General features: G+C 44.2%; 1 protein-coding gene across 1 annotated transcript in view, besides 3 other annotated features; it reads right to left on the bottom strand.

Moving 5' to 3' along the window:
* Positions 1–13,397, bottom strand: part of SCOC (short coiled-coil protein) — a 128,421-nt gene extending 115,024 nt beyond the window's left edge. The window contains exon 1 of the mRNA NM_032547.3: positions 13,295–13,397. The gene's annotated coding sequence lies outside the window, so the exon portion shown is untranslated. The remainder of the gene's footprint in view (positions 1–13,294) is intronic.
* Positions 2,447–2,946: an enhancer, noted in NCBI's record as "H3K4me1 hESC enhancer chr4:141188913-141189412 (GRCh37/hg19 assembly coordinates)". NCBI's record gives its function as "activates a minimal SCP1, AML or CMV promoter by ChIP-STARR-seq in primed H9 embryonic stem cells {active_cell/tissue: H9 hESC(primed)}" and the evidence as "EXISTENCE:reporter gene assay evidence [ECO:0000049][PMID:30033119]".
* Positions 2,447–3,946: a biological region, named in NCBI's record as "BRD4-independent group 4 enhancer GRCh37_chr4:141187913-141189112".
* Positions 2,747–3,946: an enhancer, noted in NCBI's record as "BRD4-independent group 4 enhancer chr4:141187913-141189112 (GRCh37/hg19 assembly coordinates)". NCBI's record gives its function as "activates an origin of replication core promoter dependent on BRD2, P300/CBP, MED14 and CDK7 cofactors, and independent of BRD4, by STARR-seq in HCT116 cells {active_cell/tissue: HCT116}" and the evidence as "EXISTENCE:reporter gene assay evidence [ECO:0000049][PMID:35650434]".
* Positions 13,398–14,298: the final 901 nt, after the last annotated feature.

Raw genomic sequence — 14,298 nt, 5'->3', positions numbered from 1 at the left:
CCATACCCACCCATTACCTCCTTTCTCTGGGCTCTCACATTTGGGTCACTAGTCCTGTATCCTAGTCATTGCCAGGGCCAGGTAGCAGGCAATGAGGGGTAGACCCTATGCCTCAGAGCCTGCTAAAATTATTCAAACTATCCAATCCCAGTACCAGCCTGGACAACATAGTGAGACCATCTCTAGAAAACAAAAATTTAAAAATTAGCCAGGCATGGTGGCACGTGCCTGCAGTCCCAGCTACTAGGGAGGGTAAGGTGGGAGGATCCCTTGAGCCTGGAAGGTTGAGGCTGCAGTGAGCTATGATTGTGTCACTGCATTCTAGCCTGGGTGATAAAGCAAGACCCTGTCTCTAAAAAAATAATAATCATAAATTAAAAATAAATAACCCTAACAAATTCCAAGGTGATGCTGATGTATTGTTTAGGTACCATACTCTGAGAATCATTAGCCTAATCATAGTAATACTTCAGTGAATGGTATCCCATAATTATTATTTTATCAGTTCCTTTAGGTCAGAAACTAAACCTTATACCTTGTATCCCCCATATCAAAGGGGCTTGCAGCAGGCACTCAATAAAAGATGCTGAAGGCTATTTGACACTAAAGCTTACTAAATAGTGAACTCTACCTATTAAGATACGTTTGTGACTAGTCTGGGCATGGTGGTTCATGCCTGTAATCCCAGAACTTTGGGAGACCAAGACAGGAGGATCAGTTGAGGCCAGGAGTTGGAGACCAGCCTGGGCAAGCTAGCAAGATCTGTCTCTACGAAAATTTTAAAAATTAGCCAGGTGTTGTGGTTATGCACCTGTAGTCCTAGCTACTTGGGAGGCTGAGGTGGGAGACTCGCTTGAGCCCAGGAGATTAAGGTTACAGTGAGTTATGATGGCGCCACTGCACTCCAGCCTGGGTGACAGAGCAAGACCCTGTCTCTAAAAAAAGAAAAAAGGTACCTTTGTGAATAGACTAGGAACTTGTCTAGTTAGGAATATGTTCTCGTTAGCCATTGCTGCATAACAAATCACCCCAATGCTTAGTGGCTTAAAATAACAACCATTTTATTATATCTCATGATTTTGTGGGTCAGGAATTTGGGCAAGTCTTGGCTAGTCAATCTTCCGTTTCATGAGGCACTGATGGAAGCCATGCAAAGATACTTGACTGGCAGCTGGGCTGATTCATTTATATGGCTGATACCTTGCAGGGATGGCTTGAAGCTGAGCTCCTCCGAGACTGTCAGCTGGAGCTCCTCCATGTGACCTTTCCAATGTAGTGGCTTCAGCGTAGTCAGATGCCTTACACGGCAGCTTAGGGCTCTACGAAAGAGTGTTTCAGTTTGTAAGATGAAAGCTACATGGCCTTTTATGATCCAGCCCCAGAAATCCCATTTTGTCACTTTCACTGTACACTATTGGTCGTCAAAACACTCACAAGCTTCCCCCACTCTCTCCCCAGATTCAAGAGCAGGAGATATGAATCCCTCATTTTCATAGGAGGAGTGTCAAAGAATTTGTGGGCCACATTTCTAAACTATCCCATAATGTGTGGTTGCAGCCCTGTGTCTAGTGAAGGGAATAAAACAAGTAAGCAAATGACCTAGGGCTTTATAATTGTACTCTGCTATTCTCCGTTCTGAACTTTTGATATTGAATCCTCTTCCCCAATATTTCATTGGAAGCCAGGCAGCTTCCCCATGACCGTCTTCATCTTATGACTGTAAGTTGGAATGAGTATCCATATACCCGTCAGAATCGCCTAGTGCAGTAAAACCCACAATGAAATGCTCTTCCCTATTGCACGTTCATTATACAGTATGAAAAATCGCATCCCCCAAGGACACAGTCCCAGTTGGCATTTCTCTCTCCCGCTGTAATCTACAATGCCTGGGATACAGGTGTGCTCCTCATCTGTGTCTCCAGTGTTGGGATGGGAGAATGAACAGCCAGATTCAAACCCCATGCCCCTGTTGTCTCTGAGGGAAGCACCAGCAGTCTGAATGACGCCTTCTCTCATGTCTCCAGGGCTGTACTCCCTTTGAGATCCCCTGCTTTCTGACCAGCACAACATGTCAGCAGGAACTAAATGATGACCTCAGCAGCAGTCCAAGATTATTTTGGTTACATTACTCTCTGTGATTATCCAAAAGGGAAAACAAAAAGTCATTTAAACATGCAGCTCGTGCTCTTCCAGCACAACAAAGGATCTCCTGGAAATCTTTCATTTTTTAAATGACATTATAATGTTATGCTTTGTTTTCATCACTTTTATCATCATTTCTTAGCAGAGGCCCAAGTGGCTCAGCTAGGGTAAAAGGGAAAAAATTATAATGATTCATTTGTATACATTTGTCCTAGTGGGAATTTGACGTGATGGAAACATAAGAATATTAAATTAGAGGCACTCACTCCCTTATTCTCTGTTCTATTTGAACCAGACACAAGATACAAACGTTATATGGGGCCCAAGAATGCGACAGTAATTCAGTGATGCATAAGCCCCCACCAGAACACTTGGTTATTTCTAAACTGAGAGGACATGAGCTTTCTCTGCTCTCTGGTGCCACTGATGCCTCTCTTTTAGTGAATCCTTCACCCCATCCCAAATCAATTCCTCCATTAAAGTCCCTCCCTTAAGATAACAGCTTATGTCGTTCTGGAGAGAATGGGGTCAAGTAAGCCACATACTGGACTGTCCTGAAGTCGGTTGGTTTCCCTACAAACCTCTTTCAGCAAGGCGTCCCCAGGCCGGTCCTTAGCAGCTCTCTTCTAGGAATCAGAGCTGACCAGCTCCGGAGGCCAGTGTATCGGTCGGGATCTAACCAGGAAACAGAAACCACCAGGGAATTCCAGACAGGACTTTGAGGCAGGGATCAATTACACAAGGGATGGAGGAGCCGAGAGGCCAGCCAGGGTGGGGTGAGGAATCCAGACTGCAAAGACAGGAAGCTGACACCACCTCGGGGCAGAGGAAAGGGAGGAGGGGGTTCCCGGAGCTCAGGGTGCCTCGCGGAGTCTCCACGTCACTGGGTGGAGGCTGGACCCTTAGTGGACCTGTCTGGCAACAAATGGAGTGGGAGAGGTGCGCGGCTGGGAAGGAGGGGAGAAGGCCTCGTTTCTCCCTCTCTACCTCCACCATCCAGCCTGTCAGCGCCTCCTATCATCCTCCGATCTTAGAAAAGCAACCTACAAGGGTCAGAACCCTTTGATTTAGAACAGGGTAGAGGAAGGGCAAGAAACAGATCCCAGGAAAACAGAGCCAGAATGTGCACTGCCAGTAACCCCGCAAAGCTGGTCTCACTCAGATCTCCGCAGTCTCTCCAGGCCCCTGCACACATCCACCCCTAGCTCACGTTCAAAGGTCTCAAGCCACTGACGACTATGCTGACAACACTGATGCAACCTTGTGGGATACCAGCCTTTCTCATGAAGGCTCCGCTCCCATCAAATCTCCAGCATCAGTCAACCCGCTCCTTTGGCCTCCCACCCAGTGCTACCTTTAGCTCACTGTGGTTCCCGCTGACTCACCAGTGTCTTTACCGATTTGACTTGATCTTAGATCCATTTCTGTAAGCTGAACTCCAGCTCTAGTGGGTGTGGTCTGGGTTTGGTATCAAATAACCTTCTTTCTCACCACAGAAATATTCTATCCTTTTCTCTTTTCCAGCAGAAGATGGTGTTTTGCTCTCATGATAGGCCCAATTCAAGAGGGAAGGGAGGGAGACTCCACCTCTTTGCAGAAGAGCTTGTAGGGTGAGAGAGATTGCTGTGGACAACTTTGAAAATACAACGAGCCCCAGGAAGAGACTTTATAGATCTCCTCAATACTAATTAATAGTTTTTCTCAAAGATTTCCTCTCTCCCTTACTTTTTCTCTTTCTCCCTTCCTCCCTTTTTATTTTCTTTTAGTACCTAGACACAGGAAAACTTAATCTTTGGGAACCAGCACATTTCTGAATACAGCGTAATTATAGATTAAATTTTGAAAGACTTAATGGCTCTTTATTTTGTCTTGATTTTGTCAGTCTAGACTCTAACACCTTTACCACTAATATATTCTAATATATTAATAGAAGGAAACTGAACTCAGGCCCCATCCCCATGTTAGAGACTGATTGTGCCCTCTCAAATTTAATGTTGAGGTTCTTCCTAATCCCCAATGTGATGGCATTAGGAAATGGAGCCTTTGGGAGATAATTAGGTAATGAAGGTGTAGCACCTCACTCTCTGGGGTGCCCTTATAAAACGAAGACTCCTGAGAGCTCTTAGCCCTCTTTTTAGTTACCAACACAGAAAAGGGCCTTCACCAGAACCTGACCATACTAGCACCCTGATCTGCTACTTCCAGCCTCCAGGTCTGTAAGAAATAAATTTCTGTTGTTTATAAGCCACCAAGTCTATGATATTTTTGTTACAGCAGCCCAAGCTGACTCACACCCCCAAGAAAGCTGTCTCTACTTGCCATCTTCCCCATGGCTATCAGGCAACACAATCATCTTCTAGGTATGACATTATTACCCACAAAGTTTTTCTGCAACTTCTCCGTTTCCATCTTTGGCCATGTCAGGGAGTAAATAGACGCTCTCCCTCCCTAAACAACAGGACTTAACAGCAATCAAATCAAAGATTGGGCCTCAGAATTAATTGTACCAGGCCTACCCAGCAGAGAGCAGGAGCCCTTGAGACCATGGTTCAGCTGGGGAGACAGCCCTGGACAGAGCAGAGGGCACCTCTGCCAAAGTAGGTCCTCCAGCCCTGGCTGCCTTAGTCTTTCCACCAATCCCTGGAAAAGAGGCTTTTCTGGTGTGATCTAGCTCCCACAGCGGGAGAGAGAAGAGTTCACATGCACAAAAGATGGTCTCCTCTTGAAGTTAAGTGTGCTACAGAGATGGGACAGATGGCCACATCTTAATCAGAAACTAGACTTCAAGATTATTGAGGGTAGTGTTAAATCAAGTTTAACCTAAAGCTAAAGGTTGCTCTGTACATCGTGAACTATAGCCTACATGGAAGTAAACAAACTGTAGTCTACTCTTGTGCCAATCACCAAATTTTGATCAATCAAATGTGGCCAGATGTTTAAACCATGTTCAAATAAGGCAAATGCTGAGCTATAACCAATCCAGCTGTTTCTGGACCTCACTTCCATTTTCTGTAAGTCAGTTTCCCTTTTCTGTCCATAAGTCTTCCACCACGTGGCTGCGCTGAAGTCTCAGAGCCTATTGTGGCTCAGGAGGCTGCCCGATTTGCAAATTGTTCATTGTTCAATAAAACTCTTCTAATTTTAGTGCCACTGAAGTTTTTCTTTTAACAGAAGATACATGCAATATACCGAAATGCTCTGACCACCACATAAGCATTTAAATACCCGGCTAAAAGAGAACAGGCAAACTGAGAGCAAGTGAAATACCCTTTCTTTGGGTTCTGATTTCCTTGACTCAGGGACCGACTTTTGGGAACTACAACCATTATGATTATGCTGAGCTTAGCTCCAAAAACCTATCACAGCTAAACCTCCTTTTTAAAACAACTGTTTTATAATGGCCTTTTAATATCCTCAATAAAATTAATATGCATAACTCATCCTCATACATTTCAAGAAGAAATCAACACAATGCCCTAACTGATATAAAAGAGACACAACATTATTTATAATAAAATCATGTGCATTTCAATATATATATATTCACGCCCAGGCATAGCTACGCTAGAAGTCACAATCAAGTCATGAGGCCTCATGATGCGTAGAGGCCTTAGAAACATAATAGTTACAAATGCAGCTCCGACAGGTCATTGTTTTTGTCATCAGTGAGGTGACTTTCTGAAATGGGGAACCACTCCTGACAGCACTCTAAACGAAGCAGAGCATAATCTTCTTGATTGGTATGATCATTCAAAATTCAGTGTATGTGAAAACAATGCAAAAAGAACTCATGAAATTTTTTAAAACTGAGTTAGATTCTAAGTTCCAATAATATTAGGTTTTTCACCTATCGGGATGTGTACATCCCAGATGAGAACACTCAAAAGTCATGTGGGATACAGGATGAATTGTTTTGGTTGGCCTCCACCCACTAAATGATAGTAGTATCCCTATCCTTGTAACCACCAAAAGAAGTCCCTGCCAATGTCCAAAATGACCTCAAGGGCATCGAAACCATTCTCTCAAGTGTTTCTCAGCTAGTCTTTTTGAATGTATTCTAACTGCTAGGAACTTAAGAGTGCTAGGAACTAAGATCTTTATACGTATGAAGGTCTAGGTACAATTATTATTTCCCTGTCACACATAAGGAAACCAAGGCACAAAGAGGTAAAGTAACTTCCTAAGGTCACAGAACAAGGTTGCAAGTTGGGGTGGGAGGCAAAAGTAAGCAGTCCAGAACCCACATTAACCACCACTTCCTTCCAGTCATGGTGGCAGGCACCTATAATTCCAGCAACTCAGGAGGCTGAGAAGGGATGATCACTGGAGCTGGAAGTTCAAGACCAGCCGGAGCAACATGGTGAGACCCCCATCTCTAAAAAACATGTTTTTAAAATTAGCTGGGCGTGGTGGTGCATGCCTATAGCCCCAGCTACTCAGGAGGCTGAGGCAGGAGATTTGCCTGAGCCCAGGAGTTCAAGGCTGAAGTGAACAGTGATTGTACCACTGCACTCCAGCCTAGGCAACAGCAAGCGACCCTGTCTCTTAAAAAACAAAACAATTACCACTCCCTTGCTTTATTTGCCTCTTCATTTGTGAGACTTTTCAACCTGTTTCCTACTGATAGGTCTAGGTTCTGACAAGATGAAAAAGACCTCCAGACAATCCCAGAAGACTCTATTGACTTATTCTGTCCTGTTTCTCTTTCTAAGCATGAAAATCCAGCAACACGGTTTCCACAGGCTCCTGAAAGTGTCCTCGGAGCTCGGTTCTTAGCTCACCTCTGTGACCCTTCCTGAGTTTGCTTTTCACCCATGGGTTGCTGACCTATTTCACCCATTCGGGGTGATATGATAACTAAGCCAAGTAAAAGGGGCATAATTTACTGCCTGCCCCTGCTTTTCCAATTATCCCATTTGAGCCTCGCTAATCTTTTCCTCACCTCTCTCACCTCTCCTCACCTCACCGAGTTCTTCCATTTGCTCTGTCAGACCACTGGGTATAGTGATGATAACCTGCTTTCACTCCCGGTGTCATCTCAAACAAAGGCCTGCTTCACCAAATGGGGTGTTTCAGCAGCGAGCAGCTCACCTCTCACCCACAGCTGCTCTGCACGTGGCTCAGGGAGAGTCTCTGAGCACAGATGTGGAATGCAGAGTCCCCGGCCTCATGCTCACCCTTCTTTTAGCTGTACATCAGCAAATTCTAGTTGGCTTACCTGTGCAAGTTGGTTGGAGTCTCTGTAACACTGATGGTCCTAAATTGCTCTGTGGAAGACAAGGTCTCATGCTTCTCACAGGAACATCATTGCCAAGCAAGTAAACATAAGTCACAAGGTCTTTGAAAATTTGCTAGGTACTCTGGCCATGAGCTCCACTAGACTTCCCTCCAAGGATGACATCCAGCTGTATGAGATAGTTTAAAGAGATGCAAATGCACCCAAACAGGATTATGCACAGGATTTTAATTTGCCTGTGCCTAAACAGTTACTCTAAGAAAATTTTCAAATCAACACTTTGGTGTTATTCTCTGATATGGTTTGACTCTGTGTCCCCACCCAAATCTCATCTCGAGTTGTGATCCTCAGGGTTGGAGGGGGGGCCTGGCAGGAGGTGATTGGATCATGGGGTGGTTTCTAATGGCTTAGCACTATCTACCTGGGGCTGTTTCCTGATAGAAGTCTCAAAAGATCTGGTTGTTTGAAATTCTGAAGCACCTCCCCCTTCACTCTCTCTCTCTCTCTCTCTCCTGCTGCCATGTAAGAGGTTCTTGCTTCCCCTTCGCCCCTCCGCCATAATTGTAAGTTTCCTGAGGCCTCCCCAGCCAAGCCTCCTGTACAGCATGTGGAACTGTGTGTCAATTAAACCTCTTTTCTTTATAAATTAGCCAGTCTCAGGTAGTTCTTTATAGCAGTGTGAGAACCGACTAATACGTTCTCTCATAGCTATTTCTTCCCCCACCTCGCTTTCCTCTGCTCCTATTCAAGGAGCCACTATCATTGAGCCCAACACTCTATAGCAGAAACAGGAGAAGATATAGAAAGACAAGCAAAGAGAGAAAGCACAGCACAAAAGGACTGTAGGGCAGTGTTTTGGAGATTATAGTTTTAATCCAATGTGCCAAAGATAGGAGGTCTTCAACATGGAGTCCTTCAAAGCCCTGAGAGCAAGCCCGGCCTTATAAAGAACACATTTCACCTCAAGCAAGTCACAATCAGAATCCACAATGTTTCTCCTCAATCTTCAGCAAACAAAGGTGCCCATAAACAGAGACCTTGTTCTCTTTCTCCTTTTTCCTTTCTTCCCTCTGTAGTTCCTTCCATTTTTTTCCTGAATAAAACAAACACGGAGGCACTAGTCTAGTACAAAAAGCCTTTCTTTCATAGGTCTAATAGAGACCCTGGTCAAACTACATGGAAATATTCAAAGCCCATCACCCAAGAAAAGGCAGGGAAACAATGAAAATGTATTTTCTGAGTTACATCAGGAAATGGAATGTTTTAATTCATCTTTCAAACACTAAATTCAACTTCTCAGTGATTAAATTGAGGTCTAATAAGAAAAGATGGCATATCTGAGACACCTCTCTTGTGTTTTAATTCTCCTTCTCTGGCCTGCTGCACTCTTTTGACAATAGAATCCAGTCCTGCTTCATATGACACCAGTGTCCCTTGCCTTTCCCTCCTTCCAAGCCCTGGTCACACATTCTCTAACTCCTTGCTGGTCATCTTCACCGGATATCCTTCAACACCTCCAGCCCAAACTCACCTCCCCTTTGCACAACACTCCTCACTCCTTATCCCTCTGTACCTTCAGCCCCCTTTCCCATTCCTGGCTGGAAGCAACCCCATGGTATATTTGCTTATATTCTACTTTGTAACTGGTACATGATGCATCTCAGCACTAGACTGTAAGCTCCTTAAGAGTAGAATCTGTGTTGGATTCATTTTTGTATTCATCACATCATTTAGCAAGTGCCTTGCACATTGGAGTACTCACTAAATATTTCATGAATGCAGAGGGCACTCAGCCTTTTCTGTTGGTGGCAGGGAAATCAAAGGGACCCAAATGAATGGGGAAGGCATGGAGCACTATTGTGGCAAAGTCTGGGGTATGGGAAGGGAGCAACATCCTCTGCAAATGCCTTACAGAGTGCTGGTCATTCCAAATGTTCAGTAAGACATAGTTGACTGACTGACCAATGCTCACTGCTCTTGGAGAGCTGTTGGAGTGGTGGGGTGATGGCATTTTCTTTTCATTAGCCCTAAAGGCACAGAGTCAGGAGCCAGAGCAAGGGGGCATGTTACATACTCTTCTGCCTAGTGCCACGGACAACAAACCCCAAGTCTCTGCTCCTGCTGGACTGCCACAAACATATATAATGTCTACAAACTTTGGATGAAAGGTAATAGGTCATCACCACCATTATCACAGTTTTTCACTTTCCCACTAAACTATGAGCTTCCTAAGAATGAGGATCAATCTACCTTAGTACCTAACTCATTCATCTTGATAGCTATGATGCCTGGCACATAGGTGCTCAATGAATGTGTTGAACATCGAGTTCAACTTAACATAGAGAGCTCTTAATATACATGAGGCTAAAAATATGTATGTAAGGAAATGCAATTATTAAGAAAAACTATTAATCAGCTGTTTTTTAATGTTCATGGCAAATGGTCCTGGAATGAATATGCTTAAACTAAAATTAAAAAAAAATAAATCAGAACAATTTCTTTTCTCTCTCACAGTGTGTTTTACAGACCACCTGCATCAGAATCACCTGGGATATATTACACATAAATAGAATATGTATGTTTCAGATTCATGTGTCCCCACTCCAGAATGAGTGAATGTTATTCTTTGGAGTGGGCCTGGAAGCCTACATTTTAAACATACACTGTAGAAGTTCAGCAAATTTGAGTACACTAAAATTTCAGGACATTGGTCTAGAGTGACAAGTGAGAGAACTGTTATGGGAAGAGCTGATACAGCCCTGAGACTCAATTGCCCAAAATACCTGAGGAATTTTCTCTCCAGGTTCTTCGAGCATATGATAGATCTTTTAGTCTCTGATGACTCAGAGCCAGGAAACTGGTCAAGATGACCTCACAAGATTCTTTCCAGATATGTAATGTTATGAAAAACACACTCGCCATCATTTCAACACGTGCAACTTCAACATGCACAGGAACGAAACTCTGGAACTGTCATTTCTTTGCTGGTGATGAAAATGGCTTCGCTAGTTTGTCTTCCTTTTCAGTTGCTTTCTCTTCTGTTAATTAAGTCCAATATTATTGAATACCTTCTTAGTGCAAGGCTCATGCAAAAGGCTTTGGAAGGAAGTTAGAATATGAATCAACCATCTGTGAGATCTGTGAGGAGTTCACCACACAGGACATATGATGAGAGGTATGCATATGAAAGTTAGGCAGCAACTCAAAACACTAGGGAAAATGTCATGGGACAGTGTTTGCTGAGTGCTCAAAATTAATTATATAAAAATAATGTCTCAGGGTATTCTGTGGAGAGTGATCATTTCAAGCTGGGAGTGAGATTTGACCCAACCTCAAGGAATGGGGGAGGATTTGGAAAGGCAGAAAGGAAAAGGAAGGGCGTATCCAGGAACTGGAATGGCATGAACAAATTTTAGATGAGGAGAGGTAAACCCATTTGACACGAGTAGAGGTTTAATCAAGAATGGCGGGAAATAGATGAGTAAATTGAAGAGCTGCTTCATGGAGGGTTCTAATGCTATACGATGAGAACTTTGGGCATCTTCTTAGAGGGAAATTGGAGGATTACAGGTAAGTAAGTTTTGAGAAAACATTATTTATTTAGCTAGTTAATTTTTGGAGACATGGTCTCACTCTGTCACCCAGGCTGGAATGCAGTGGTGTGCTCATAGCTCATTGCAGCCTGGAACTCCCAGGCTCAAGCCATCCTCCCACCTCAGCCTCCTGAGTAACTGGGACTACACTACCATGCCTGGATAACTTTTTTTTCTTTTTATAGATGGTCTCGAACTTCTGCCTTGACTGCACTCCCAAAGCACTGAGATTACAGGTGCAAGCCACCATGCCCAGCCGAAAAGTAGTACTTTTAAAAGATTAATCCAATGGCAACTGTAGGGCGATTTTTGAAGAGAAAATATGTGCAGTAGGTAGACAATGAGAAAGCTATTGCAATGGACCACACATGAGATAAAAAGAGTCTAACTAGGGTTGGAGCACAGTAGGAACGAAAAGCAAGAAAGAAATGCAAGAGATATTATGAAGTGAAGAAAGGACAACAAAACTCAGTGACCAACTGGACATGGGGTTGCAAAAGAGAGAGGAATCAAAGATGGGCATCCTTTTTCATCTTGTAAGTATTGATCACCTCTTAGCCATATCCAACCTTTTGTAGACAAAGGTGTTTCCTCTGTTTCTGAGCCTTGCCCATGCATTTTTCCCTTGACTTATATTAGCTTCAGTAATAACCCTGTCTGTGCATTTCTAGGCATTTCTGTATTAAATGCTGCTATGAAAGAGACGTCCAATTCCACTTGTTGAGAGCAAACAGAATCTGGTGAAAACCAGGCCATTGTTCAGCGGTAAGTCATATCTTGGCACATCTGCTTTTTAGTGAAAATACTCTGGCTCAGAGGTAAGTGTGTAGCCAGCAAGAAGCCATTCATGGATGATAGATCAATTGATAGATAGATACATGGTGGGAGAACCATGATAAGGAAGAAATGTCAGCACATATGATACGCCATCATTTCAAAAAATGGAACTATAGTTTCTACACTGGATTTGGTTCCTAAGGGAAGAAAATGCAAGCTATTCTTGGGGCTTACTCAACAACTCAGAAAGAGAAGAGAAAGCAGACCCTGAAGCCCTGGAGGAAGATTCACTGTGCTCCAACTCAGACACAATCTAAAGCGCTTCTTCAGCTTCTACAATGAATGAATCTCTGGTAAATAAGGAACTTTAAGTGGTGAGGTCAGAGGAGAGAGAGATTGGCATGGCATTCACCTCCCATCCCAGAGAGAAGGGCAAGTGCTTTGGTTAAGGACGGCCTAATTACATGGAGTGTGTCTTATCTGGAGGAGGGTAGAAAATGTCTTAGGGTAACCCTTAATCAAAAAAATCCAGTGTTTGACGGAGATAGGAATAGAGATGTCTCCTATACATTTGGAAACAGAAGCTGGCCTCAAGGAGAACCAAGGAACACTGCAGAAAATGGTAGATGAGGTTGTACTTCTGGAAAAGGGGACAAGATGAATTCTCCAATTTGATATGGGTAAAATCTGGGGAGAAATAACTACCTAATAAACATCTCATCACAGCCAGAAAATGGGGGTTATTTCCACCCTGGGTCTGGGCCCTCTAGAGCTGTGTGGGCAGAAAGACTCAATGGAGCTCAAGTGCTTGGCGGAGGGTGGAAAGAGCACCTCCGCAGACTGCTCTGGCAACAGTCCACTATGCTGTGCAGGTGTGGCAGGCTGAGAGTGGGAGCAGCCGGACGACCTATGTGAGGAACAGCAGTCAGCAGTGGAAAGAAGAGGCAAGAACTGTCTGAGGACCCCACTCATGCCTGGGATTGGAGTTTCTGCCAGCTTGTCACCAATTCCGCCTGTGCTTGTTCCTTGCCCAAGAGGCAGAGACTGATATGAAGAGTCATGGCACTGTAGCCAGAAGTGCAGCGACATCTCTGGTGTATGGATTCCTCCAGCAGTTCTAGGGACCTGGCAAAGCAAAAGGCTGCCACATGGAAACGGGAGGATAGAAACAGTCATGATCATGATGCTGGCTGGCACTTAAAAGTGCTTATTATGCACTAGGCACTGTGCTGAGCTCTTCACACATTCTATGCTTTCAATCTTCACAATGAACTTATGAGAGCTATTATTATCCCCAAAGAAGACTGAGGCAGAGACAGGTTAAATAACTGACCTATATTTACACAACCCAGGCTCCTCACCGCCGTGAGAGAGCTCAGATGACTCGCCCTCAGTTTGGAGTCTGAAAAAGAAACTCTGAAGAAGAACAGAGACACAGATTGCCAGGCTCTCCCCTAGGCCCAAACCTCCCCCTTAAATACTGGCTCTTACAAGCAGATGCCTTGAACAAAGCCTGTGCCCAGCTAAGTGAAAATCTTTCACTTACCTTCCAGAGGTCACCCTGATGCAGACGAAGAGAAAAGATAAATTTGCTCAGCTTCAGATGTAGCCATCGTTCCTATCATAGGCAAGAGCATCTCCGTAGTGATGAAAAGCTCTATAATTTTAAATGTGTTATTGGTCTAAGCACAATTTACACTAGGGATGAAAAAAAGGAAGAGATTTATGAGATGTAAGATAGAAAGATAAACTCTTGTCCCTTAGTGGCTATTAGAAACATTGCCAACATACCATAAATGTGTGAAAGATGACGTGATTATTTTGCATTTCCACTGGGCATTTCATATGTTGCAAGAATTTACTGGGGCCAAAGTCCCCAGTAAAGATGGTAGAGTCTGGGGAGGGGAGGTGGAGGAGGCCCCACTGACCAAGCCCCCATCTGGGATGGGTATAGGGCAGGTGGCTTTAGGCAGAGAGAGCACACTCTGTTGCCTAAGGTGCAACACCTACCAGCATCCTCTTTATTTCCTGCCTCTAGCCACCTGCTCTGGGGGCAGGTTCGGTGGCCAGGCACTGCCCCATGTTTCATCAGGCTTTGGTGTCAGATTCTGGGTCTAAGTGTTCCAGTCCATCACAAAATCTGAAACAAGAGAGGGCAGCCAGGACAGGAGAACTGGCAAGGTTCATCTAACTACCCCTAAAAGCCTCATAAACATAAGCATCCAGTGAGTTAGTGCCACCAACCTGGCCCCAAGAGACACAGGATATTTTATCAAAGAGAAAGAGATTGGTGATCAGAAAGTGATTTACCTGAAACCCACTTGAATTATTCTCACAGCTGGCCAATCTGGACCGGTTATCCTGGCAGGGACATCATCAACATCAACATCTGAAAGCCCAGTCACAGGAAGTTAGTCACAGGGCAGGCTGCTGAGTCAGGGCTGGGATGAAGGTCACATAGAGTCCTGGGGTTAAACCAGGTGATGTGTCCGAATCTCCTCTGACCCAGCAGCCAGTGTCTTGAGCAGGAGGTAAACTCCAGCTCTGACC

This window comes from Homo sapiens, chromosome 4, assembly GCF_000001405.40.
Source record: "Homo sapiens chromosome 4, GRCh38.p14 Primary Assembly".
NCBI classification, from domain to species: Eukaryota; Metazoa; Chordata; class Mammalia; order Primates; family Hominidae; genus Homo; species Homo sapiens.
This window is presented reverse-complemented; position numbering and strand designations above follow the sequence as displayed.